General features: G+C 54.7%; 2 protein-coding genes across 7 annotated transcripts, besides 22 other annotated features; both read left to right on the plus strand.

The window, feature by feature from the left end:
- Window positions 2-725: an enhancer, noted in NCBI's record as "NANOG-H3K27ac-H3K4me1 hESC enhancer chr17:27054959-27055682 (GRCh37/hg19 assembly coordinates)". NCBI's record gives its function as "activates a minimal SCP1, AML or CMV promoter by ChIP-STARR-seq in naive H9 embryonic stem cells {active_cell/tissue: H9 hESC(naive)}" and the evidence as "EXISTENCE:reporter gene assay evidence [ECO:0000049][PMID:30033119]".
- Window positions 253-692: an enhancer, noted in NCBI's record as "active region_11942". NCBI's record gives its function as "activates an Ori minimal core promoter by ATAC-STARR-seq in GM12878 lymphoblastoid cells {active_cell/tissue: GM12878}" and the evidence as "EXISTENCE:reporter gene assay evidence [ECO:0000049][PMID:35858748]".
- Window positions 726-1,449: an enhancer, noted in NCBI's record as "H3K27ac-H3K4me1 hESC enhancer chr17:27055683-27056406 (GRCh37/hg19 assembly coordinates)". NCBI's record gives its function as "activates a minimal SCP1, AML or CMV promoter by ChIP-STARR-seq in naive H9 embryonic stem cells {active_cell/tissue: H9 hESC(naive)}" and the evidence as "EXISTENCE:reporter gene assay evidence [ECO:0000049][PMID:30033119]".
- On the plus strand, window positions 849-15,516 carry NEK8 (NIMA related kinase 8). Its single transcript, NM_178170.3, has 15 exons — window positions 849-921; window positions 6,044-6,249; window positions 6,833-7,065; window positions 7,301-7,432; window positions 9,367-9,575; window positions 9,736-9,797; window positions 9,880-10,061; window positions 10,156-10,306; window positions 10,732-10,808; window positions 11,145-11,262; window positions 12,524-12,674; window positions 12,883-13,046; window positions 13,139-13,297; window positions 13,474-13,632; window positions 14,020-15,516. The coding sequence occupies exons 1-15, from the start codon at window positions 875-877 to the stop codon at window positions 14,046-14,048; spliced, it is 2,079 nt and encodes a 692-aa protein (NP_835464.1). The 5' UTR covers window positions 849-874; the 3' UTR covers window positions 14,049-15,516.
- Window positions 7,072-7,131: an enhancer, noted in NCBI's record as "active region_11943". NCBI's record gives its function as "activates an Ori minimal core promoter by ATAC-STARR-seq in GM12878 lymphoblastoid cells {active_cell/tissue: GM12878}" and the evidence as "EXISTENCE:reporter gene assay evidence [ECO:0000049][PMID:35858748]".
- Window positions 7,192-7,291: an enhancer, noted in NCBI's record as "active region_11944". NCBI's record gives its function as "activates an Ori minimal core promoter by ATAC-STARR-seq in GM12878 lymphoblastoid cells {active_cell/tissue: GM12878}" and the evidence as "EXISTENCE:reporter gene assay evidence [ECO:0000049][PMID:35858748]".
- Window positions 9,535-10,069: an enhancer, noted in NCBI's record as "H3K4me1 hESC enhancer chr17:27064492-27065026 (GRCh37/hg19 assembly coordinates)". NCBI's record gives its function as "activates a minimal SCP1, AML or CMV promoter by ChIP-STARR-seq in primed H9 embryonic stem cells {active_cell/tissue: H9 hESC(primed)}" and the evidence as "EXISTENCE:reporter gene assay evidence [ECO:0000049][PMID:30033119]".
- Window positions 9,535-10,149: a biological region, named in NCBI's record as "H3K4me1 hESC enhancer GRCh37_chr17:27064492-27065026".
- Window positions 9,970-10,149: an enhancer, noted in NCBI's record as "active region_11945". NCBI's record gives its function as "activates an Ori minimal core promoter by ATAC-STARR-seq in GM12878 lymphoblastoid cells {active_cell/tissue: GM12878}" and the evidence as "EXISTENCE:reporter gene assay evidence [ECO:0000049][PMID:35858748]".
- Window positions 10,290-10,439: an enhancer, noted in NCBI's record as "active region_11946". NCBI's record gives its function as "activates an Ori minimal core promoter by ATAC-STARR-seq in GM12878 lymphoblastoid cells {active_cell/tissue: GM12878}" and the evidence as "EXISTENCE:reporter gene assay evidence [ECO:0000049][PMID:35858748]".
- Window positions 10,450-10,509: an enhancer, noted in NCBI's record as "active region_11947". NCBI's record gives its function as "activates an Ori minimal core promoter by ATAC-STARR-seq in GM12878 lymphoblastoid cells {active_cell/tissue: GM12878}" and the evidence as "EXISTENCE:reporter gene assay evidence [ECO:0000049][PMID:35858748]".
- Window positions 11,320-11,469: an enhancer, noted in NCBI's record as "active region_11948". NCBI's record gives its function as "activates an Ori minimal core promoter by ATAC-STARR-seq in GM12878 lymphoblastoid cells {active_cell/tissue: GM12878}" and the evidence as "EXISTENCE:reporter gene assay evidence [ECO:0000049][PMID:35858748]".
- Window positions 12,703-12,842: an enhancer, noted in NCBI's record as "active region_11949". NCBI's record gives its function as "activates an Ori minimal core promoter by ATAC-STARR-seq in GM12878 lymphoblastoid cells {active_cell/tissue: GM12878}" and the evidence as "EXISTENCE:reporter gene assay evidence [ECO:0000049][PMID:35858748]".
- Window positions 12,883-12,992: an enhancer, noted in NCBI's record as "active region_11950". NCBI's record gives its function as "activates an Ori minimal core promoter by ATAC-STARR-seq in GM12878 lymphoblastoid cells {active_cell/tissue: GM12878}" and the evidence as "EXISTENCE:reporter gene assay evidence [ECO:0000049][PMID:35858748]".
- Window positions 13,293-13,352: a silencer, noted in NCBI's record as "silent region_8352". NCBI's record gives its function as "represses an Ori minimal core promoter by ATAC-STARR-seq in GM12878 lymphoblastoid cells {active_cell/tissue: GM12878}" and the evidence as "EXISTENCE:reporter gene assay evidence [ECO:0000049][PMID:35858748]".
- Window positions 13,853-14,012: an enhancer, noted in NCBI's record as "active region_11951". NCBI's record gives its function as "activates an Ori minimal core promoter by ATAC-STARR-seq in GM12878 lymphoblastoid cells {active_cell/tissue: GM12878}" and the evidence as "EXISTENCE:reporter gene assay evidence [ECO:0000049][PMID:35858748]".
- Window positions 15,148-16,148: an enhancer, noted in NCBI's record as "NANOG-H3K27ac-H3K4me1 hESC enhancer chr17:27070105-27071105 (GRCh37/hg19 assembly coordinates)". NCBI's record gives its function as "activates a minimal SCP1, AML or CMV promoter by ChIP-STARR-seq in primed H9 embryonic stem cells {active_cell/tissue: H9 hESC(primed)}" and the evidence as "EXISTENCE:reporter gene assay evidence [ECO:0000049][PMID:30033119]".
- Window positions 15,148-16,330: a biological region, named in NCBI's record as "NANOG-H3K27ac-H3K4me1 hESC enhancer GRCh37_chr17:27070105-27071105".
- Window positions 15,172-15,466: an enhancer, noted in NCBI's record as "tiled region #11843; HepG2 Activating DNase unmatched - State 1:Tss". NCBI's record gives its function as "activates a minimal TATA promoter and a strong SV40 promoter by Sharpr-MPRA in HepG2 cells {active_cell/tissue: HepG2}" and the evidence as "EXISTENCE:reporter gene assay evidence [ECO:0000049][PMID:27701403]".
- Window positions 15,172-15,466: a silencer, noted in NCBI's record as "tiled region #11843; K562 Repressive DNase matched - State 1:Tss". NCBI's record gives its function as "weakly represses a minimal TATA promoter and a strong SV40 promoter by Sharpr-MPRA in K562 cells {active_cell/tissue: K562}" and the evidence as "EXISTENCE:reporter gene assay evidence [ECO:0000049][PMID:27701403]".
- Window positions 15,921-16,330: a silencer, noted in NCBI's record as "silent region_8353". NCBI's record gives its function as "represses an Ori minimal core promoter by ATAC-STARR-seq in GM12878 lymphoblastoid cells {active_cell/tissue: GM12878}" and the evidence as "EXISTENCE:reporter gene assay evidence [ECO:0000049][PMID:35858748]".
- TRAF4 (TNF receptor associated factor 4) lies at window positions 16,072-23,017 on the plus strand. 6 transcript variants are annotated; one of them, XM_011525504.4, is made up of 7 exons: window positions 16,072-16,316; window positions 19,274-19,325; window positions 19,883-20,008; window positions 20,078-20,239; window positions 20,323-20,484; window positions 20,572-20,727; window positions 21,006-23,017. In XM_011525504.4, the coding sequence occupies exons 1-7, from the start codon at window positions 16,174-16,176 to the stop codon at window positions 21,636-21,638; spliced, it is 1,434 nt and encodes a 477-aa protein (XP_011523806.1). In that variant the 5' UTR covers window positions 16,072-16,173; the 3' UTR covers window positions 21,639-23,017. The 6 variants fall into 6 exon arrangements, with proteins under 6 accessions (XP_011523806.1, NP_004286.2, XP_011523807.1 ...); NM_004295.4 differs by having other exon boundaries at window positions 19,904-20,008; XM_011525505.3 differs by lacking the exon at window positions 16,072-16,316 and adding an exon at window positions 16,496-18,440.
- Window positions 16,351-16,550: a silencer, noted in NCBI's record as "silent region_8354". NCBI's record gives its function as "represses an Ori minimal core promoter by ATAC-STARR-seq in GM12878 lymphoblastoid cells {active_cell/tissue: GM12878}" and the evidence as "EXISTENCE:reporter gene assay evidence [ECO:0000049][PMID:35858748]".
- Window positions 19,152-20,151: an enhancer, noted in NCBI's record as "H3K27ac-H3K4me1 hESC enhancer chr17:27074109-27075108 (GRCh37/hg19 assembly coordinates)". NCBI's record gives its function as "activates a minimal SCP1, AML or CMV promoter by ChIP-STARR-seq in naive and primed H9 embryonic stem cells {active_cell/tissue: H9 hESC(naive and primed)}" and the evidence as "EXISTENCE:reporter gene assay evidence [ECO:0000049][PMID:30033119]".
- Window positions 23,018-23,906: the final 889 nt, after the last annotated feature.

Here is a 23,906-nt window from a genome sequence, read left to right on the forward strand (position 1 = left end):
AGCTCCCGCAGAGCAGGAGCCCGGGAGAACCTGGAATTAACCTCACTTCCGGTAAAGAGCCTAGCTGGTCACACTAACCAGCCCCCTGCCTCTAGGCTTTTGCCTTGAGCTCATTTCGGCGAAACCGCGGTCTTTCCTTCTCCCCTTGATGCTTTCAGGTACTGACCCACTACCGCCCCCATCTTCCCCCATGGGAAGATGAGCACTGAGGGCAGATTACCCTCCTGCAGCGCGTGTGTGAAAGGGGAGTTGAGAGTGCTGACGAGCGCGGCGCTCACTAGTCGGGACGGCCCGAGACCGTGTCATGTCCTCTTCAGGTGAATCAACTTGCACGACTTGGGATTTCCCCCGTCCCTCCCCAGGCAAACACGAAACCAACCCTGCTGCCTTCTCCCAGGAGCGCTGGTCTCGGTCGTTTTGGGTGTGTTTATCGTTTGCGTGCCAAGGAGAACCCGCTTTCTCCTGAAATAGCGTCACTCGTGGGCAAGAAGGGGGTCAATCTTCTCTTCCCACCCCTTCCCGGCCTGTGGGGTTTAACTCTCGGGAACGCGACATCCTTTTAGTCTAGCAAGCTTTACAAGGGCTGGGTATATGTGTGGGAGGGGCGGGTACCGTGCCCGCCATTGCGGGCGCGCCCTATTTTCTTGCCCTATTCTTGGACACTGCGTGGGGCAGGGTCGTGAGGGGAAAAGTGACGGCGTGTCGCAGCGGGAGGTGTGTGGTGCAGGCCCACAAATACGGACGCGTGGCGGAACCCACACCTAGGGCGCTGGCTCCGCCCCGCAAGCCGCTCGCCGTGAAGGGGCGGGGCCCAGAGTGGGTGGGTCCGCGCACGCGCCGCGTGGGGGACGGAAGTGAAACTCTAAGAAATGAGATGGAGAAGTACGAGCGGATCCGAGTGGTGGGGAGAGGTGCCTTCGGGTGAGCCAGGGCTCTGGGGGAGGAAACTGCTAGGGGATAGGGAAAATAAGCCCCAATTCCGCCCGCGAAGTCGCCGCCCGCCTAATCCCGCCCCAAGGCGTGAGCGCCACTCTGGGAAGCCCCGCCCAAGCTTCCGGTCCCAGTCCCCCGGGGAGACTCCGCCTCTACGGAGGCCACGCCCCTGACAGGCCCATTGCTCCGCCCACTGAGTTATGTTAGCTTCTTTATTCATTCGTTCAACAAATACTGAGTGCCAGCTATGTATGTCAGGCTTTGGCCGCTGGGTATATAGTTAGAACCGGAACGGGCGTGGTCTTTTCCCTCTTGGAACTTACTGACTGTGGGAAAGTTATACAATAAACAAAACATTATGAAGTAAGAAGTTATAGCAGTTATGAAGTGTTATTAGCAGGTTGTGAGGATAGAGTACATTACCAGTGAGAATACTTATATGAGATGGTCAAGGAAGAATTCTCTGAGAAGGGAGATTGCTTGCTTGCTTGATTGATTTTTAAGACAGAGTCTCCCTCTGTCACCCCGGCTGGAGTTCAGTGGCACGATCTTGGCACACTGCAACCACCACCTCCTGGGTTCAAGCAATCGTTGTGCCTCAGCCTCCCGAGTAGCTAGGATTACAGGCGTGCGCCACCATGCCCGGCTAAATTTTTTGGATTTTTTTTTTTTTTTTTTTTTTTTGAGGCAGTCTCACTCTGTCGCAGTGGCGCGATCTCGAGTGCAGTGGCACTATCTCAGCTCACTGCAACCTCTGCCTCCCTGGTTCAAGCGCTTCTCCTGCCTCAGCCTCCCGAGTAGCTGGGACTACAGGCACGCGCCACCATGCCCAGCTAATATTTTTTGTGTTTTTAGTACAGATGGGGTTTCGCCATGTTGGCCAGGCTGGTCTCAAATTCCTGACCTCAGGTGATCCGCCCGCGCCGGCCTCCCTAAGTGCTGGAATTACAGGCGTGAGCCACCGCGACAGGCCAGAAGTGAGATTTAAGGCCAAGACTTGAGGAATGAGGACCAGTAGTCTGCAGGTGAAGGGAGAACTTTTCAGGCAAAGGAAATAGCGTATGTGAAATGTCTCACATGGGAAAACAGAGCATTCAAGAAACCGAGAAAGACTAGTAATAGTTGGAATGTAGTGGGCAAGGTAGAGAATGGTATAAAATGTAATTGTCGAGGGCGGGGACTAGATTATGGCCTGATAACCTGAGATAAAAGGTTCATTTGCCACAAACGGTTTTGTTTTGTTTTTGTTTTTGTTTTTGAGACGGAGTCTTGCACTGTCGCTCAGGCTGGAGTGTAGTGGCAATCTCAGTTCACTGCAATCTCCGCCTCCCGGGTTCACGCAATTCTCCTGCCTCAGCATCCTGAGTAGCTGGGACTACAGGCACACGCCACAACAACCGGCTAATTTTTTTTTTTTTTTTTTTTTTTTTTTTGTGAGACAGAGTCTCCTCTGTTGCCCAGGCTGGAGTGCAATGGCACCATCTTGGCTTACTGCAAGCCCCGCCTCCCGGGTTCAAGCAATTCTCCTGCCTCAGCCTTACAGGCGTGTGCCACCATGCCTGGCTAATTTTTTGTATTTTTAGTAGAGACAGGGTTTCACCATGTTGGCCAGCCTGGTCTCGAACTCCTGACCTCAGGCGATCCACCTGCTTCTGCCTCCCAAAGTGTTGGGATTACAGGCGTGAGCCACCACTCCCAGCCACCAGGAAGGGTTTTAAAGAGGAAGAGTGATCCTGAGACTTGGCAGAGTTTTCTGAAAAGGGGCAGGGTGCAGTGGCTCACGCCTATAATCCTAGCACTTTGGGAGGCCGAGATGGGCAATTGCTTGAGCTTAGGAGTTAGAGACCAGCCTGGGCAACACAATGAGTCCCCCTGTCTACAAAAAAATAAAAAAATTAGCCAGGTATGGTGGCATTGGCATGTGCCTGTAGTCCCAACTACTCAGGAGGCTGAGGTGGGAGGATCACTTGAGCATGGGAGGTGGAGGCTGTAGTAAGCTGAGATGAGACCCCTGCACTTCAACTTGGTTGACAGAGTGAGAACCTATCTAAAAAAAGAAATAATACAAGAAAAAAAGAAAGAAAGGAAAGAAAGAAGGGGCCGGGCACGGTGGCTCAGGCCTGTAATTCTAGCACTTTGGGAGGCCGAGGTGGTTGGATCACCTGAGGTCAAGAGTTCGAGACCAGCCTGGCCAACACAGTGAAACCCCATCTCTACTAAAAATACAAAATTTAGCTGGGTGTTGTGACGGCTACTTGGGAGGCTGAGTCAGGAGAATCGCTTGAACCTGGAAGGCAGAGGTTGCAGTGAGCTGAGACTGTGCCATTGCACTACAGCCTAGGCAACAAGAGTGAAACTCTGTCTCAAAAAAAAATAAAAACAAAAAGGCCGGGCGTGGGGGTCATGCCTGTAATCCCAGCACTTTGGGAGGCCGAGGCGGGCAGGTCACGAGGTCAAGAGATCGAGACCATCCCGGCCAACATGGTAAAACCCCGTCTCTACTAAAAATAAAAAAATTAGCTGGGCGTGGGTGGCACGCGCCTGTAGTCCCAGCTACTCGGGAGGCTGAGGGAGGAGAATTGCTTGAACCTGGGAGGCGGAGGATGTAGTGAGCCGAGATCGCGCCGCTCCACTCCCGCCTGGCAACAGAGTGAGACTCCTTCTCAAAAATAAAAAAAATAGAAAAATAAAAAATCTTATCAGACCATTCCTCTATATTTTGTCTTTCTTTCTTTCTTTTTTTTTTTCTGAGACAGAGTCTCGCTCTGTCACCCAGACTAGAGTGCAGTGGCACCATCTCGGCTCATTGCAAGCTCCGCCTCCCAGGTTCACGCCATTCTTCTGCCTCAGCCTCCCTAGCAGCTGGAACTACAGGCGCCCGCCACCACTCCCGGCTAATTTTTTTGTATTTTTTAGTAGAGACGGGGTTTCACCATGTTAGCCAGTATGGTCTCGATCTGCTGACCTCGTGATCCGCCTGCCTCAGTCTCCCAAAGGCCTGGGATTACAGGCGTGAGCCACCGCGCCTGGCCCCAATTTTTTTTTTTTTTTTTTTTTTTTTTTTTTTTTTTTTTTTGAGACGGAGTCTTGCTCTATCTTCTAGGCTGGACTGCAGTGGCGCAATCTAGGCTCACTGCAAGCTCCGCCTCACGGGTTCACGCCATTCTACTGCCTCAGTCTCCCGAGTAGCTGGGACTACAGGCACCCACCAGCATGCCTAGCTAATTTTTTGTATTTTTAGTAGAGACGGGGTTTCATCGTGTTAGCCAGGATAGTAAGATTTTTAAATTGCATTCTGGGGCTGGGCATGGTGGCTCATGCCCATAATCCCAGCACTTTGGGAGGCCGAGGTGGGAGCATATCTTGAGGCCACGAGTTCAAGACCAACCTGGCCAACATAGTGAGACCCATATCTATAAAAAAAAGAAAAATAAATAAAAAATAAATGTCATTCTGGTTCATGTAGAATTTAGATTTGAGGGTGACAGGAGTGAAAGGGACCATTTTGGAGAGTTATACAGTATTTTAGGCGAGAAATTATGATGACTATAGGGCAAGGGCTGTAGAGAGGGCACAGAGAATTGGATGGATTTACAGTATTGCAGAGGTAGAAATAGGATTTGCTTGTGTGAAATGGAGGAAAGATTCTAGGGCGATTTTCTTTTTTCTTTTCTTTTTTTTTTTTTTTTTTTTTTTTGAGGTGGAGTCTCACTCTGTCGCCCAGGCTGGAGTGCAGTGGCGCCATCTCGGCTCACAGCAAGCTCCACCTCCCAGGTTCAGGCCATTCTGCTGCCTCAGCCTCCCGAGTAGCTGGGATTACAGGCGCCTGCCACCACACCCAGCTAATTTTTGTATTTTGGGTGGAGATGGGGTTTCACCATTTTGGCCAGGTTGTTCTCAAATTCCTGACCTCAAATGCTCCACCCACCTCGGCCTCCCAAAGTGTTAGTATTACAAGTGTGAGCCATTTCGCCCGGCCTAGGCTGATTTTCAAGTGTCTGTTTTTTTGTTGTTTTGTTTTGAGACCATCTCACTTGGTCACCCAGGCTGGAGTGCAGTGGCGCAATCATGGCTAACTGTATCTTCAATGTCCTAGGCTCAGGTGATCCTCCCACCTCATCCTCCAGAGCAGCTGGGACCACAGAGGCTTGCCACCATGCTCAGCTAATTTTTTTTTTTTTTTTTTTTTGCGAGAGTGGGTTTCACCATGTTGCTCAGGCTGGTCTTGAACGCCTGGACTCAAGTGATCTACCTGCCTTGGCCTCCCAAAGTGCTGAGATCACAGGCCTTAGCCACTTGGCCCTGCCTCAGGTTTCTGATTTTAGCAGTTTCTGATTTTAATAACTGGAGGATGATGGTAGCATTTACTGAGATGGAAGAGACTGAGCAAGGAAAGGTTTGGAGGCAGGAATCAAGAGTTTTATTTTGAATTTGTTAAAATTTAGGATGACTGTGAGCCATTCAAGTGGATATCTGAGTCTAGGGTTCAGAAGAGAAGCCTGATCTGGAGGTAAAAATTTGAGACTTAGATCAGCTTATAGTCCACTCATTCAACAAATACTTATTGACTGCCTATTGTGTGCTAAATATTGGGCTATGCACTGGGGTTATTGTGGTGAACAAGAATGTTGTAGTCCCTGCTTTTATGGAGACTAACCACAGAATTAAAATAAAATAATATGAATGGCTTCTATTCATTGAGCGTTTTCTTTGTGCTGGTCACTGCACTCAGTGCCTTACATGCATTTTCTCATTCCATCCTCTCAACAACCCTGGGAGGCCCATTTCATTTTCCAGACAATGATGTCACATAATGTATCAAACCAGATAACTAGTAAGAGGAGGCACCCAGATTTGAACCCAGGCAGTCTGTGGGAACTTAGAGATCAAGACTAACTTTACCTCACAGTGCCTGTGGTGAAACTGAAGTCCCACACAGCTTGTAATCAGTTCTCCCTGTTCCCAAGTTCAGTGTTCTGTGCGCTTGGTTAGATGACCTCTCAGTCTAGAACCCTCTTCCAAGAGACATCAGTCACTAGGCTGCACCGCCCTGCCTGATATGTGGCTGGAGGCTTAGCTGGTAACCTGTCCCTGTCCTCCGTATCCCTAGGATTGTGCACCTGTGCCTGCGAAAGGCTGACCAGAAGCTGGTGATCATCAAGCAGATTCCAGTGGAACAGATGACCAAGGAAGAGCGGCAGGCAGCCCAGAATGAGTGCCAGGTCCTCAAGCTGCTCAACCACCCCAATGTCATTGAGTACTACGAGAACTTCCTGGAAGACAAAGCCCTTATGATCGCCATGGAATATGCACCAGGTGGGCCAGCCTCCTTACAGTGGCCTGGCTGGAGGGCCTCTTACCTCTGGGACAGGCAGACACAGATCTCCTGGCTTCCCTCCTTGGAATGGGCATGGCCAAGGGTTAGAGTTCTGGTCCCAATTATCTGACCCCGGCTAGCCCCTTGTCCTCTCTGGTCCCAGTGCCCTGTTCCATACATAAAAGGAGAGGGGTTGTTGGCTGGGCACGGTGGCTCATGCCTGTAATCTCAGCACTTTGGGAGGCCAACGCCGAGGCGGGCGGATCATGAGGTCAGGAGATCGAGACCATCCTGTTTAACACGGGGAAACCCCGTCTCTACTAAAAATACAAAAAAAAAAAAAAATTAGCCGGGTGTGGTGGCAGGCACCTGTAGTCCCAGCTACTAAGGAGGCTGAGGCAGGAGAATGGCTTGAACCCGGGAGGGGGGGCTTGCAGCAGTGAGCTGAGATCATGCCACTGCACTCCAGCCTGGGCAACAGAGCGAGACTCCATCTCAAAAAAAAAAAACAACAACAACAATGGAGAGGGGTTGTCGTAGGTGTGAGAAAGCCTGGATCTTGATTAGTCCCTTGGGCCACAGGCGGCACTCTGGCTGAGTTCATCCAAAAGCGCTGTAATTCCCTGCTGGAGGAGGAGACCATCCTGCACTTCTTCGTGCAGATCCTGCTTGCACTGCATCATGTGCACACCCACCTCATCCTGCACCGAGACCTCAAGACCCAGAACATCCTGCTTGACAAACACCGCATGGTCGTCAAGATCGGTGATTTCGGCATCTCCAAGATCCTTAGCAGCAAGAGCAAGGCCTACACGGTGCCTGGGCATGGAAGGGACCTCCAGGGCACTAGAAGTCTTGAGGGCCAGGACCTAACCCTGCCTCCTCCCCTCCCCCTAAAAAACCCTTGGCCCTTTGGCCCCTGTTTGGGTGGTTCTGCAGGAGGAAGCCCCTTGGCTTGCTTTGAGAAGAAGCTGTCCCCAAATGGGCTTATGCACAGAGCCCCTGGTCTTCCCTCCCTGCAGGGCTGTGATCCCAGCTTCTATCCTGCAGGTGGTGGGTACCCCATGCTATATCTCCCCTGAGCTGTGTGAGGGCAAGCCCTACAACCAGAAGAGTGACATCTGGGCCCTGGGCTGTGTCCTCTACGAGCTGGCCAGCCTCAAGAGGGCTTTCGAGGCTGCGGTGAGTGTATGCACCCTCCAGGGGACAACTGAGAAATCTACTGCCTCGCCCAGCAGCCCTTGGCTCAAGCCACCTCAGGTTTCTCCTCTAGCTGAGTCATGTCTCTCCCTTATCAGATTACCCCAGGGGAGGGCTATGGGTGTCCCTCAGACTATGGATTTCTGAGAGTAGGTCTTGCCTCCCATTAGACGGAGGGCTCCTGAGGGCAGGGCTGTGGCTTTCCCAGAAGACCCTCCCAAGAGCAAGACTTGAGTTTTCCCAGCATGCTGGGGTTTCTGAGGATATAGCTGCAGCTCCCCTATCAGACTAGGGATCACTGAAAGCCAGGTTGGACTCCCCTGTCAGTCTGGGAGTCTCCTCATCAGACTGAAGTCTCCTGAGGGCAAAGCTGTTATTGTTTATTTATTTATTTTTTTTATTATACTTTAAGTTTTAGGGCACATGTACACAACGTGCAGGTTTGATACGTATGTATACATGTGCGATGTTGGTGTGCTGCACCCATTAACTCATCATTTAACATTAGGTATATCTCCTAATGCTATCCCTTCCCCCTCCCCCCACCCCACAACAGGCCCCGGTGTGTGATGTTCCCCTTCCTGTGTCCATGTGTTCTCATTGTTCAATTCCCACCTATGAGTGAGAACATGCGGTGTTTGGTTTTTTGTCCTTGCGATAGTTTGCTGAGAATGATGGTTTCCAGCTCCATCCATGTCCTACAAAGGACATGAACTCATCATTTTTTACGGCTGCATAGTTTTCCATGGTGTGTATGTGCCACGTTTTCTTAATCCATCTATCATTGTTGGACATTTAGGTTGGTTCCAAGTCTTTGCTATTGTGAATAGTGCCACAATAAACATACGTGTGCATGTGTCTTTATAGCAGCATGATTTATAATCCTTTGGGTATACACCCAGTAATGGGATGGCTGGGTCAAATGGTATTTCTAGTTCTAGATCCCTGAGGAATCGCCACACTGACTTCCACAATGGTTGAACTAGTTTACAGTCCCACCAACAGTGTAAAAGTGTTCCTATTTCTCCACATCCTCTCCAGCACTTGTTGTTTCCTGACTTTTTAAAGATCACCATTCTAACTGGTGTGAGATGGTATCTCATTGTGGTTTTGATTTGCATTTCTTGATGGCCAGTGATGATGAGCATTTTTTCATGTGTCTTTTGGCTGCATAAATGTCTTCTTTTGAGAAGTGTCTGTTCATATCCTTCGCCCACTTGTTGATGGGGTTGTTTTTTTCTTGTAAATTTGTTTGAGTTCTTTGTAGATTCTGGATATTAGCCCTTTGTCAGATGAGTAGATTGCAAAAATCTTCTCCCATTCTGTAGGTTGCCTGTTCACTCTGATGGTAGTTTCTTTTGCTGTGCAGAAGCTCTTTAGTTTAATTAGATCCCATTTGTCAATTTTGGCTTTTGTTGCCATTGCTTTTGGTGTTTTAGACATGAAGTCCTTGCCCATGCCTATGTCCTGAATGGTATTGCCTAGGTATTCTTCTAGGGGTTTGATGGTTTTAGGTCTAACATGTAAGTCTTTAGTCCATCTTGAATTAATTTTTGTATAAGGTGTAAGGAAGGGATCCAGTTTCAGCTTTCTACATATGGCTAGCCAGTTTTCCCAGCACCATTTATTAAATAGGGAATCCTTTCCCCATTTCTTGTTTTTCTCAGGTTTGTCAAAGATCAGATAGTTGTAGATGTGTGGCATTATTTCTGAGGGCTCTGTTCTGTTCCATTGGTCTATATCTCTGTTTTGGTACCAGTACCATGCTGTTTTGGTTACTGTAGCCTTGTAGTATAGTTTGAAGTCAGGTAGCATGATGCCTCCAGGCAAAGCTGTTATTATCCCAGGAGACCAGGGGCTGGAGCTGGGGGGTGCTGCCCTCACTTCCCCAAATTCTCAACCTGGTGCCTTCACAGAACTTGCCAGCACTGGTGCTGAAGATCATGAGTGGCACCTTTGCACCTATCTCTGACCGGTACAGCCCTGAGCTTCGCCAGCTGGTCCTGAGTCTACTCAGCCTGGAGCCTGCCCAGCGGCCACCACTCAGCCACATCATGGCACAGCCCCTCTGCATCCGTGCCCTCCTCAACCTCCACACCGACGTGGGCAGTGTCCGCATGCGGAGGCCTGTGCAGGGACAGCGAGCGGTCCTGGGCGGCAGGGTGTGGGCACCCAGTGGGAGCACAGGAGGTCTGAGGCAGAGGGAAACCTGGGGCAAGTCCTCCCTTCCTGCATGTAGGAATGTCAGGAGGGTCTTTGTCCTTAGGCCCCCATCTGTCCTGCAGGGCAGAGAAGTCCGTGGCCCCCAGCAACACAGGGAGCAGGACCACCAGTGTCCGCTGCAGAGGTAAGTGGGAAGAGGCCGCCAGTCCCCATGGATGCCACACCATTCCCATCAGTTTAATAGTCCCCATGCACTGTACCTGCAGGTATCCCCCGGGGACCTGTGAGGCCAGCCATCCCACCACCACTGTCGTCAGTGTATGCCTGGGGTGGTGGGCTGGGCACCCCCCTGCGGCTGCCAATGCTCAACACAGAGGTGGTCCAGGTGGCAGCTGGGCGCACGCAGAAAGCCGGCGTCACGCGCTCTGGGCGTCTCATCCTGTGGGAGGTGAGCAGGCCAGGGGGTGGCCTGGATGGGTGGAGGTGGAGGTCCACAGCAGGGTTGGGGTGCTCAGGCGCTGCCCATCCCCCTGCCCCTGCAGGCCCCACCCCTAGGTGCAGGCGGAGGCAGTCTCCTTCCTGGGGCAGTGGAGCAGCCACAGCCCCAGTTCATCTCGCGTTTCCTGGAGGGCCAGTCGGGTGTGACCATCAAGCACGTGGCCTGTGGGGACTTCTTCACTGCCTGCCTGACTGGTGAGTTGTCGGGCCTACCTTGTGGGACCTGCTCTGAGGCCCCACAGAGCACCTTCTCTCTTCTCTTGCAAAACACGCACTTAATGAATGCTTCTGTCTACTAGTTATCGAGTTATTGCTTCTGTCTAGTAACTATTGAGGAGATTTCCTTATACAACCTCCTTTACCCTACGGACAGGCCTGGCAAGGCAGTTATTATATTATCCTCATTTGACAAGTGGGGACGCTAAGGCTCAGAGAGGGTGTCACTTGTCCAAAGTCACATATGTTTGAAGGGACTCATATCCTTTTCTCTCTTCCTATCCCATCCTTCCAGCCCTGGTCCCCAACTTTATTTTGCTGCTGCAACCCACTGGAGGACCGGGCTATCTGGAAAGACTGTTTAACTTCTTTCCCTTCTCCTTCCTCACTGCCCTTCTCCCCAGACAGAGGCATCATCATGACATTCGGCAGCGGCAGCAATGGGTGCCTAGGCCATGGCAGCCTCACTGACATCAGCCAGGTGGGTGTCACATATACCTTGGGAAGGGGAAGTCGGGGGATGGCGGGGAGCCCACATCTGTGAGTTGACACCAGATTGGGGGCAGGGGAGTTCCCAGCAACCACAGGTTCCTCTAGCTTCCCAGCTGCACCTGCTCTGGGCCACCTACATCGGGGAAAGTACAGAAAAACCAGGCTTCCCCAATGGTTGCCCACCTGGCAGTGTGTATGGCTGGATTTAAAGACACAGCCACCTCCTGAGAATGTGTAGCCTCCAGCTTTGTCCCTACAGGGGGTGTTGAAGCCAGATGGCTCCAGACCCTTTGCCCAGTTTCTCCTTGCTTCCTCTCCTCTCTAGCCCACCATTGTGGAGGCTTTGCTGGGCTATGAAATGGTGCAGGTGGCCTGTGGGGCCTCTCACGTGCTGGCCCTGTCCACTGAGCGAGAACTATTTGCCTGGGGCCGTGGAGACAGCGGTAAGCTCCAGCCTTTAGGCCCCATCTCACAGCATCCTCAGCCATGACTTGCTCCCCTTCATACCCACCTTCCACCTCACAGCACATTCTCTCTTCCCTCTTTTCTCTCAAATTCTCTTCATTCATTCAACAAACCTTTATTTTACACCGACTATGTGCACACCCTGTGCTGGGTGCTGAGATGAGATGGAGATGTGGCTTCCTTCAGGTGTTTATGAGGTAATGAAGGAAATTTCATTCATCCACCTAGTTTTTTATTTTATTTTGAGATGGAGTCTCGCTCTGTTACCCAGGCTAGAGTGCAGTGGCGTGATCTCAGCTCACTGCAACCTCCACCACCGGGTTCAAGCGAATCTCCTGCCTCAGCCTCCCAAGTAGCTGGCATTACAGGCACCCGCCACCGCGCCCAGCAAATTTTTGTATTTTTAGTAGAGACAGGGTTTCACCATCTTGGCCAGGCTGGTCTCGAACTCCTGACCTCGTGATCCACATGCCTCAGCCTCCCAAAGTGCTGGGATTACAGGCGTGAGCCACCACGCCTGGCCCATCCACTAATTTTTTTTATTGAGGTCCTCTTTGGGTCAGGCATCAGGCTGGCCACTGAAACTAGAGATGACACTGATGGGTTCTTGTCTTCCTGGAGGACTCAGTCTAGTGGGAGAAAGATGACATTGCCAGCATGCCAGAGAACAGATAGCATCAGGGCTACACCCCAGTGCAGAGGCGTGGAATTCAGTGAACAGTAATGTCAACTGGAGGAGAGAGATGTCATTTGAACAGGGCTTTAAAGGAGGAGGATTTTGAGCCGGCGTGGTGGCTCACGCCTGTAATCCCAGCACTTTGGGAGGCCGAGGCAGGTGGATCACAAGGTCAGGAGTTCAAGACCAGCCTGGCCAACATGGTAAAACCCCGTCTCTACTAAAAATAAAAAAATTAGCTGGGCATGGTGGTGCATGCCTGTAATCCCGGCTACTCAGGAGGCTGAGGCAGGAGAATCGCTTGAACCCAGGAGGCAGAGGTTGCAGTGAGTGAAGATCATACCCTTGTACTCCAGCCTTGGCGACAGAGTGAGACTCAGTCTCGAAAAATAAAAATAAAAAATAAAGAAGGAGGATTTTAACCAGCAGAGGGGCCTAGGAAAGGCATTTGGGACTGAGAGAACAGAGAACTCATGCTGTTCCCTCCCCTCAGTGGGCCCTCCTCATTCGGGCATCACCCCCACTAAAGCTCAAATTAACTCCTTCTGGGTTTCTTCTTGTAGGCAGACTGGGGCTAGGCACCAGGGAGTCCCACAGCTGCCCCCAGCAGGTGCCCATGCCCCCAGGACAGGAAGCTCAGCGAGTTGTATGTGGTATCGATTCCTCCATGATCCTCACTGTGCCTGGCCAAGCCCTAGCCTGTGGGAGCAACAGGTGAATAGATCATCAGGATGACTAACCTGCCCCTGGCTCTCCTTGGCTGCAAGTGCTCCGTCCATCATTGCCTACCTTTCACCAAAGACCAGAATTGAGGGGGTTGAGGGTGCTATTGGTTCAACCCAGGGTGGGATCTGTCTCCTGGTGCACCAGCTCCTGCCCAAACTGTCTGTCAGTTGGATTTGGCTTCTGGCTCTGCCCTCAGGTTCAACAAGCTGGGCCTGGACCACCTCTCCCTGGGGGAGGAGCCTGTCCCCCACCAGCAAGTGGAGGAGGCCCTGAGCTTCACACTACTAGGCTCTGCACCCCTGGACCAGGAGCCTCTGCTGAGTATAGACCTGGGCACTGCTCACTCAGCTGCTGTGACTGGTGAGGAGGACTTGGGCTCTGGAGGTCAGAGGGGGACTCACGGTCTCCTTGGTACCCTGTTGAAGCACCCCTTTCCTTCCTCTCCCCCATAGCCTCGGGTGATTGCTACACTTTTGGCAGCAATCAGCACGGACAGTTGGGCACCAATACTCGCCGAGGCAGTCGGGCACCCTGTAAGGTCCAAGGCCTTGAGGGCATCAAGATGGCAATGGTAGCCTGTGGGGATGCCTTCACTGTAGCTATTGGGGCAGGTGAGGACTGAGCATGGTGGGGGCAGACAGTGCCATGAGCAGTGGGGGGTGGGGGTTGCTATTCAGGGCCACTGGACTCTGGAGCCTCCCAGGGGCCATCCTGGCAATGTGGGAGGGGAGATCCTGCTCGGGCTGTGCCCACTTCCCACTTCCCTCCTGGGGATTCTTCCTGGCAGAGAGCGAAGTGTACTCTTGGGGCAAAGGGGCGCGAGGTCGATTGGGAAGGAGGGATGAGGATGCCGGACTCCCTCGGCCAGTGCAGTTGGATGAGACACACCCTTACACGGTGACTTCCGTGTCCTGTTGCCATGGAAACACCCTCCTGGCTGTTCGATGTGAGTTGTAACTTTTCCCACTTCACCACACAGCCCAGCTGGCCCCTGTCCACACTCCCATCCCCAGTGTTCACAGATGGCCACATCACCAAAAGCATCTTTAGCCCCCAGATAAAAAAAGCAGAAGCTGCGGTTGAAAAGCTTCAAGCTTCCTGCCTGGGGTGGCCAAGGCTGGTGCTTCTTGGGCCTCATGGAAGGGCTGCCTCCACTGCTCCCCAGGGCTCACATGCATTCTTTCTCCTACTGCTGAGTCCCGTTGATGCTGAAACTCTCTTTCTGGCCTAACAGGGTCCAGAATCCAGGGCCCAGTGGGAGTGGGAGGTGGGTGATGATTTCTGGAGGCACTGCCCTCAGAAGCTGCAAGGGTTTCTCTTCGGTACCCTCCAGCGGTCACAGATGAGCCGGTCCCCCCCTGAGGCACCCGGATTCACCTCTGGACCACCCTGATATTGCTTCTCCTCTGAATGCTCTGAAAAGTGCAGGTGCCCAAGGCATGACTTGCAGCTGTCTCCTGGATTGTGTCATCATGGGGTATCAGGGCTGGCAAAACCCCTGCTCTGCTTTTGGCCTTGGATATGGAAACCTCAACCACTTTGTTCTCCTACCACCTCTTTGCCCTTCCTACCCCTTCCTCCCTTCAGTCAGTGTCCCCAGGGTCCAGCCTGGCTAGAGTTAGAAGGCAGACCTAGCCTTTGGAAGCAGGGTGGCCTCCAGAGCCTTGCCATAAAAAGGCTGAAGGCAGCCGGGCGCAGTGGCTCACGCCTGTAATCCCAGCACTTTGGGAGGCTGAGGCGGGCGGATCACGAGGTCAGGAGATCGAGACCATCCTGGCTAACGTGGTGAAACCCCATCTCTACTAAAAATACAAAAAAATTAGCTGGGCGTGGTGGCACGCGCCTGTAGTCCCAGCTGCTCAGGAGGCTGAGGCAGGAGAATGGCGTAAACCCCTCCAGCCTGGGCGACAGAACCAGACTCCGTCTCAAAAAAAAAAAAAAAACAAAAAAGGCTGAAGGCAGCTGTAGCTCCACACAGACCCTACCCTTTCCCCTAGCCCAGTTAGAAAATAAGTCTGGGCCGGCGGCGGTGGCTCACACCTGCATAGGCAGTGCTTTGGCCAGGAGGATCCCTTGATCCCTTGTGGCCAGGAGTTGGGAGACCAGCCTGGGGACCATAGCGAGACCGCTGTCTCCACCAAAAAAAAAAAAAAAGAAGAAAATAAGGCTGGGTGCGGTGGCTCACGCCTGTAATTCCAGCACTTTGGGAGGCCAAGGCGGGCGGATCACTTGAGGTCAGTAGACTGAGGCCAGCCTGGCCAACATGGTGAAACCCCGTCTCTACTAAAAATACAAAAATTAACCAGGCATGGTGACGGGCGCCTGTAATCCCAGCTACTCTGGAGGCTAAGGCAAGAGAATCCCTTGAACCCGGGAGGTGAAGTTTGCAGTGAGCCGAGATCGCACCACTGCACTCCAGCCTGGATGACAGAGCAAGTCTCCCTCTCAAAAAAAAAAAAAAAAAAAAAAAAAAAAAAGTATTTGGTGCTTACCGGGACTCTATCTCCATACTTTGGAGCAGGGCAAGCCAGGGCCTGCCTGGACTGGCCATTAGGCCTGCCTAGCTTCTGCATAGCCCGGGGCTGGGCGGTCCCCGGGAGTGCTGCCACCTCCCCTACACTTTCATCCTGAGGCAGGATTTGCTAGACGTCGGCTTGCCTCTCTTCCCCAGCAGGAGGGCAGGAGTCACTAAGTGCTGCAGAAAAGATCCGCGCTGGAGATTGCCCGTCCCCCCCATGCCTTTCCCCAGAAACAGTTGAGAGAATGGGTAGCTGGTGGGACCAGACCGGTTTCCCAGAGGACAGGAAGGCCAATAAAAATATCAGCTGCCTGCCTGGAGTGTGGTGTCTTCAAGGGTGGGGGTGGCGACCAGGCACCCCAGGACTGGGCTGGGCCCGACCTCGGTGGCAGGGCTGCGGCCAAGGGAGGAATGTGGGCGCAGCCGGAGGCTGGGGCCGAGGTTCCTCTGGCCCAGCGCCCAGTCCAGCCTCCCCGCCCCAGCTGGGCTCCCCGGAGCTGGTTGCCAGGCTTCGGCTGCCTAGCACCTGGAAGCTGGGGCCACGGTTCCTGGGCTGCTCACGGCCCCGGAGGCCGAGCTGTTGCCTCTGGAGAAGAAAACCTTTGTGGCGCGGCCCGTCCCCTTTTCCGACCCGCACTTCCCCGGGGCCCGCGGGCTCTGGGGAGAAGCGGAGCCACGATCTCTGTCCCCCAGGGGAAAGAAAAGCCCATGATCCCGTGGGTGGGCGAGACTGGCGGTCACCAGACCCAAAAACCATGCACTCGGGGGTGGGCGGGGCCGCGAGGGCGCGCATTAGGACCGCGCGGCCGCGGTCCGCCCTCTCTTCCGGAGGGCGGGCTTCACAGCCGAGCCCTGGCCGCGACCGCCAGTCGGCGCCGCCCGGAGCCGGGAGCGCCGCTCCAGCGAGGCGCGGGCTGTGGGGCCGCCGCGTGCCTGGCCCCGCTCGCCCGTGCCGGCCGCTCGCCCGCCATGCCTGGCTTCGACTACAAGTTCCTGGAGAAGCCCAAGCGACGGCTGCTGTGCCCACTGTGCGGGAAGCCCATGCGCGAGCCTGTGCAGGTTTCCACCTGCGGCCACCGTTTCTGCGATACCTGCCTGCAGGAGTTCCTCAGGTGCTGGCCGGGGAGCAGGGGACAGCGGGGGCGGGGCGGGGCGGGGGGCGCCGCCTGGGGAGGGTCTCGGGCCCGGGGCAAGGCGGGCCTTTGTCTGCGCTGCGACCCTGTGACCTCAGGGGCGCCCCGTGACGTCACGGGGAGGGATGACGTCAAGCCCCGAGGGAGGCCCCCCCCGCAGGAATCCGAGGGGTCCGGGCGGGTCCCAACTGCCCGGCCCGGGGCGGAAGACCTCGGCGCCTTCTCGTGGGGTCAGGAGGGGAAGAGGCCCTTCCCCGTCACCTGAGAGCCGGCGCGGCCTCAGCCTTGAACTTTGAATCCTGGGGGAAGAGGACAAAACCCGCTCCCGCGTGGCAGTTTGAGCCTCCGGAGCTTTCCCCCATCTAACCTCTTCTGATTCTTCGAACGTTCAGAGAACGGTAGCTATTGTTCTCCCATTTCACAGATCATGAAACGAGATTCAAAGAAAGGCTGCGACTTGCCCAGGGTCACATAGTTACTTAAAGGCTTAACTAGGATTTAAACCCGGACTGCTTATGATCACACAATGGAGGAAGGACTGAATCCTCCCCCGAAGAAGGACCCCTCTAGGCGGCTCCCCTCTCTCCCGGGGGCTGGAGTAAGGCGGGTGGTCCATAAGTCATGAAGAAGGGGGTCGCACTCGTGTTGTTACTGAACTCCCGCTGCCCTCTCAGGACGCAGGTTAGCCCTTGGCTCTTGGGCATCCATCAAGTTTCTGGGCGCCCTGTATGTCTTGAATCTCCTGCTCACGCAGGGAACCCCTCAGGCCCGGGTGTGGGAAGCAGGGTGAAGGAGCCCCGACTCTTCGGAGGTCATGCCCCCAGAGCGCAGGGGAAGGCCGAGTCGGCCACTGCCTGGCTGTTTGCTGGGACGAGGGGATCGAGGGCCTGGCAGGGATAGTACCTCTGAGACGCCTGCCTCCGGTGCTCCCTCCCGCCGTGCCTCCCTCCCTCGCTCGGTCCTCCGTAGCTCCTACTGGCGGAAATCTCAGCAGGCCCTTTGTTTTCTGTTCCCCACAGCCTGGGCCGGCTCCTGCCCTCACATATGCTCCGGCACAAGCTGCAGGACTGCCCCCTCCCCCTCGGCAGTGTACACATTTACTCTCCTACAGACACAGCCCCATTGTCTCCGCCACTGCTCTTCCCCGGCCCTCTGGGTTCCAGATGAGGCCAGCTGAGCCCCCCGACCCCCCCACAGCTGACCCACCCTGACTGCCTCGGGAAAGGAGCGGGGGAGGGGGCCGTCAGGCCGGATTCCTTCCACCACCTTCTTGGCCCCCCTCTCTGCCACTCCCCCTCCCGGAAATCCCCTCTTCCTCTCCCACTCCCACACCCCCTCCCCCCATCCTGTCTTCTTCCCTGGGCCTTGGCCTCCACTGCACAGCCTGGAGCAGCCTCTGCCCTGCCTGTCCCCCATCCCCCAGTGCCTGAGCTGTGCTGCTGAGGCTTCTGAAGGGGAGAGAGGTGGTTGGGTGGTCCCTGCTCCTCACCCGCCACGGTACAAGCACAAGTGAGGGTGTCCACAGCCCTGGCTGGGCCCCAAGCTGCAGGCTAAGCTTCTGCCTGAAGCCTAGGGACTTGCCTCTGTCCCCTCCCTTTCTCCAAAACCACTCAGTCAGCACATTCCTGAAGCAGCCAAGTGGACCCCCTCCCCCTGGGCCCACCCCTCTTTCCCCACTCCTGCCTGAGCTGTTAGGTTGGCCCAGGAAGGCTGGTTGCCCTGTGGGCAGACACACCCCTTCAGTGCCTGTGGTTGTATTGTCCTTGGCATTGAAGCATGGCCAGTGGTAGTGGGATCAAGGGGAGGAGGTGGGTGCTAGAAATCCTTGGGGCAGTTGGGGCATGGACTGCCTGGGTCCTGGAGAGTGCCTCTAGAACTGGGCTCCCATGTGGGCTCTGGTTCCGCCTGGATCCCTGCCTGCCTTCCACCTACCTGACTCAGACCTGCCAGGAATGCCCTGCCCCAGGGCCCTGAGTCCTGCTGGGTGAGCCATTGCTCTGCCTGAGCCATGCCAGGCATGTGTGACTGGCCCTGGCTGGGGTCAGCAAGGGCATGTCGACAGAAAGAAGCATGCCAACAGGCTCCTTGGGTGCTGACGGCCAGGTAGGGTTTGGTGCAGGAGAAGGCGGGCAGCTAGCAGGAGGGGACGGTCACCAGGCTTCAGAAGCCCACTGAGCAGTGCCCAGAGTCTTAGCTGTGCTTGCTGGACATTTTTCCTTGCCCCAGCTTCTCTTCCTTGTGTGTGTGGTGTAGTAGAGCCTGTCTGAGCTGTGGAGTCAGACACACATAGCCAGGTGCTGCTTCACCTGTAAGCCTCTTCGTTTCATCTGTAAAATGGGGGCATTCCACCCCTTCTCAGAGGCAGGTGGCAAGGGCCGGGTGGGAATGTAAACAGGTGCCAAGGAGCATGCCTTTCCTCCCCTTTTCTGTGGGAGACACACCCTCAAAGGAGCAGGGCAGGGTAAGGTGGCCGCAAGCTGACCTTTGCCCTGGTTCTTGGCAGAGGACCTTCCTGGGGACTGGGCAGCCTTCGCACTTAATCTCAGCCCATCCCTGTTCCCCCTCCCAGTCAGCTTTCAGCGCAGCCAATGAAAACTAACCTAGGGGGAGGGGGTGACTGTGCAGCGTGTTCCTTTCCCAGTCCAGCTGCCATCCTGGGGGAGGGGGTGCCAGCTGCCACCTGTTGGCCAAGTCCTGACTGAGGCAGCTGTCTGTGCCTCCTCTAGGCCCAGACCCCCCTTCCCAGGACAGGGGCTGGGGTCTTCTGGGATCCTGGGGAAGTAGAGCCCCTCAGGCCTCTGCTTGCCCTTTTGTCTCATCTAGGCTGGTTGGGAACCGGTCTGGTGAGGAAGGGAGGCTGCCTCAGTGGAGGGGGTGGGGCCAGGCCTCCCTTTCCCCTAATGAGAAACCTTTTTCCTGCCCCTCCCCCATTTCAGTGAAGGAGTCTTCAAGTGCCCTGAGGACCAGCTTCCTCTGGACTATGCCAAGGTGAGTCCACACTGCCAGGAAGAAGCCCAAGCACAGTCTGTTGCCCTTGGAGGCCGGAGCTGCTGGCAGCCAGTGGGCTCAGGGCCAGTGTCAACCAAAAGCCTTGGGATGGTGCGCCTCCACAAAGGTAGCCTGTTCCCTCCCACCAGGCCAGTTTGCAAACGAGGCCCCTGTTTGCCCTGGAGGGCATGCACAATGCCCAGCCTGTAGGGGTGCACAGAGCTGCTCTGTGCCCGCAAGAAGTGTTCCCTCCCCTTCCGGTGGCAAGCCAGACCTGTGGCTGAGGGCCAGTATCCCTCCACCAGGGGAAAGGAAGCAGAGCCCCAGGGACAGCCTGGGATTGAGCAGGCTGATTGGCTGCCTCTTCAAAGGAAGCGTCCTGTGCAGGCATGTTAGGACCCAGCATCAGAGCAGATGCTGCCTGCTGTGCCCTTCATCCCTGGACTCAAGAGGGGCAAAGAGCCCAAGAGAGGCTATTACAGGCTCCAAGGTAGAGCCAGCCCAGTTGGGTCTAGGGGTGGGAACTGGGCACTGCAGTCAGCTCTGACCCTGGCCAGTTCCCCCATCCCTACCCCCAGATCTACCCAGACCCGGAGCTGGAAGTACAAGTATTGGGCCTGCCTATCCGCTGCATCCACAGTGAGGAGGGCTGCCGCTGGAGTGGGCCACTACGTCATCTACAGGTGAGGCTCTGATGTGAGGGCTGGCACCACCTCTCCCTTGGCAGGCACTAATTGCAGCCTTCCCACCAGGGCCACCTGAATACCTGCAGCTTCAATGTCATTCCCTGCCCTAATCGCTGCCCCATGAAGCTGAGCCGCCGTGATCTACCTGCACACTTGCAGCATGACTGCCCCAAGCGGCGCCTCAAGTGCGAGTTTTGTGGCTGTGACTTCAGTGGGGAGGCCTATGAGGTGGGTGGGGTCTGGCTGAATGTGGAGGAGGGGGTACCTGATGGCCTAGGCATCTCTTAACTCAGCACCTCTGACATTTCCAGAGCCATGAGGGTATGTGCCCCCAGGAGAGTGTCTACTGTGAGAATAAGTGTGGTGCCCGCATGATGCGGCGGCTGCTGGCCCAGCATGCCACCTCTGAGTGCCCCAAGCGCACTCAGCCCTGCACCTACTGCACTAAGGAGTTCGTCTTTGACACCATCCAGGTGAGGCCTTCCCTGAACTGTGGGTTGCAGGGTAGGTGACAGGTAGTCAGGATATTGACTCCTGCCTCTCTACTTCTGTGGCCCCAGAGCCACCAGTACCAGTGCCCAAGGCTGCCTGTTGCCTGCCCCAACCAATGTGGTGTGGGCACTGTGGCTCGGGAGGACCTGCCAGGCCATCTGAAGGACAGCTGTAACACCGCCCTGGTGCTCTGCCCATTCAAAGACTCCGGCTGCAAGCACAGGGTGAGATGCCCCTTTTCCTGTCAGCCCCCTTTTGCCCTTGAAGCCCTAGACAGAGGCTCAGCTTCTGATGTACTTAGGCCTTGGTGGTCCCTGCTGTGCTGCTCTGAAACCCTCAGTCCTTCCCTCTGCTGCCAGCTCCAGCCTCTTCCTAACACCCTCTGTCTTCCTCACGTAGAGCTGGGTGCCTGCTACCCTGTACCCACTCCTCTCCTCTCCCTGGACCTCCCCCTACTGATAACTCTCCTCCCTTCCCCCATGGCCTGGGGCTTTGCCAACAGTGCCCTAAGCTGGCAATGGCACGGCATGTGGAGGAGAGTGTGAAGCCACATCTGGCCATGATGTGTGCCCTGGTGAGCCGGCAACGGCAGGAGCTGCAGGAGCTTCGGCGAGAGCTGGAGGAGCTATCAGTGGGCAGTGATGGCGTGCTCATCTGGAAGATTGGCAGCTATGGACGGCGGCTACAGGAGGCCAAGGCCAAGCCCAACCTTGAGTGCTTCAGCCCAGCCTTCTACACACATAAGTATGGTTACAAGCTGCAGGTGTCTGCATTCCTCAATGGCAATGGCAGTGGTGAGGGCACACACCTCTCACTGTACATTCGTGTGCTGCCTGGTGCCTTTGACAATCTCCTTGAGTGGCCCTTTGCCCGCCGTGTCACCTTCTCCCTGCTGGATCAGAGCGACCCTGGGCTGGCTAAACCACAGCACGTCACTGAGACCTTCCACCCCGACCCAAACTGGAAGAATTTCCAGAAGCCAGGCACGTGGCGGGGCTCCCTGGATGAGAGTTCTCTGGGCTTTGGTTATCCCAAGTTCATCTCCCACCAGGACATTCGAAAGCGAAACTATGTGCGGGATGATGCAGTCTTCATCCGTGCTGCTGTTGAACTGCCCCGGAAGATCCTCAGCTGAGTGCAGGTGGGGTTCGAGGGGAAAGGACGATGGGGCATGACCTCAGTCAGGCACTGGCTGAACTTGGAGAGGGGGCCGGACCCCCGTCAGCTGCTTCTGCTGCCTAGGTTCTGTTACCCCATCCTCCCTCCCCCAGCCACCACCCTCAGGTGCCTCCAATTGGTGCTTCAGCCCTGGCCCCTGTGGGGAACAGGTCTTGGGGTCATGAAGGGCTGGAAACAAGTGACCCCAGGGCCTGTCTCCCTTCTTGGGTAGGGCAGACATGCCTTGGTGCCGGTCACACTCTACACGGACTGAGGTGCCTGCTCAGGTGCTATGTCCCAAGAGCCATAAGGGGGTGGGAATTGGGGAGGGAGAAAGGGTAGTTCAAAGAGTCTGTCTTGAGATCTGATTTTTTCCCCCTTTACCTAGCTGTGCCCCCTCTGGTTATTTATTTCCTTAGTGCCAGGAGGGCACAGCAGGGGAGCCCTGATTTTTAATAAATCCGGAATTGTATTTATTAATTTGCTTCCAGCCTGACTTACCTGGGTTGGTTAGGTCCCTGGGAGGCTCAACCAAACTGAAGGCAAAGAAAGGACCAGTCAGAGAAGGGCCGCTGCCTGGGTCTGGCCCCAGGATCCAGCTTACCTGCTGGCTCGCCCTCTGATGGACGCCGGGAAAACTGCATCGGGCTTTGTGTGGAAGACGGTCCCTGCCACTGCCCTCTGCCGATGAAATGCGGGAAGTGTATGGCCTAGATGTTTCATAAGGCTGGAGTCCCTGGTCAGCCCCACCAGATTAGTGCTTCTACCCTAGGCAGGGCTTTCTTGGTCTAATGGTAATAAGCACCGACACTGCTAAGCACTTTACGTGCATTATTATTTCATTGAAAAGAACTGTCAAGTGAAATACTTTTTAGCACAGTAACTGGCTTTGTGGGCTCTAGAGAAGAGTTAATGAGGCAGTGCATGTTCTTGGCCCAGAGTAAGTGCTTAGTGAATGCTTTCTAACTCCGAACCCCAGCCACATCCAGGGACTGGGTGTTGAGCAAAAGGGGCCTTCAAGATGTTCAAGGCACTTGGATTTTCTCCTGTCTCTCATCGGCTTTTCTTAACGGGCCTCAGTGGGTGCATGTGATTATCCACGTTTCACCTATGAAACATGAACAGAGGAGACTGACTTATCAGTGATTCTTCCGCGGGTTCGGACAGGGCCTCGATTCTGTTTTAAACTCCAGTAGTCCCTAGAAATTGTAGCTCCCTCTAGTTGTGGCAATAGGTGTGGGTCCTTGTGCTTGCTTTTGGCAAGTTTCTGAGCTACACAGGGCCTCCATTACCGTCACTGGTGAAATGCGGCTCACCTCCCAGATTTGTTGTAAAGATTAAATGAACTGGTCAGCACACAGTGCCTTACTGTCTTGCCTAGCCCTGAGAAGAGGCTGTATGTACGAGAATCATTAGTAAGGGAAGGTTCAAGGACTGTAGTTCTTTCTTTTCCCATGCAGAGGCTGAGGGTTTAAACAAAAAAAAAAAAAACTCAGCCTCTGCTGCACACGACTAGCTACTCAGGAGGCTGAGGTGGGAGGATGGCTTGAGCCCAGGAGGCAGAGGTTAAAGTGAGCAGAGATTGCGCTACTGCACTCCAGCCTGTGTGGCAGAGCCAGACCCTGTCTCAAAAAAAAAGGCCTTGGGCTGGGCGAAGTGGCTCACTCACACCTGTAATCCCAGCATTTTGGGAGGTTGAGGTGGACGGATCACGAGGTCAGGAGATCAAGACCATCCTGGCTAACATGGTGAAACCCCGTCTCTACTAAAAATACAAAAAAAAATTAGCTGGTGTGGTGACACGCACCTGTAGTCCCAACTACTCAGAAGGCTGAGGCAGGAGAATCACTTGAACCCGGGAGGCGGAGGTTGCAGTGAGCCAAGATCGCGTCATTGCACTCCGGCCTGGCGACAGGGAGAATAAAAAAAAAAAAAACCCTTTATGGGGTGACAGGACAGGACTAAGCCTCAGTGAGCCAGGCTGGGGAGGTCATCATCGGCCCAATCTTTCTTTTCAAAAAGGTCAAATTGACTTACTTATCTAGGGAGAAATGGGGCCCTCCTGCCTAGGTGAGAAACTAGAGCTGGGCTTCTTCACCAGATAAACCGTCTTGGTACGGTGATGCCTGGAGACTGGTAGAGGCAACCATGGGCTCCAGCAGCATAAATGCTTTCAGGCAACAGGCTGAAACACCTTTCCAGAATCCCAGCTACACACCTGACCGAGCACAGTGGCTGATGCCTA

The sequence above is a fragment of the Homo sapiens genome, chromosome 17, assembly GCF_000001405.40.
Source record: "Homo sapiens chromosome 17, GRCh38.p14 Primary Assembly".
In the NCBI taxonomy this organism is placed as follows: domain Eukaryota; kingdom Metazoa; phylum Chordata; class Mammalia; order Primates; family Hominidae; genus Homo; species Homo sapiens.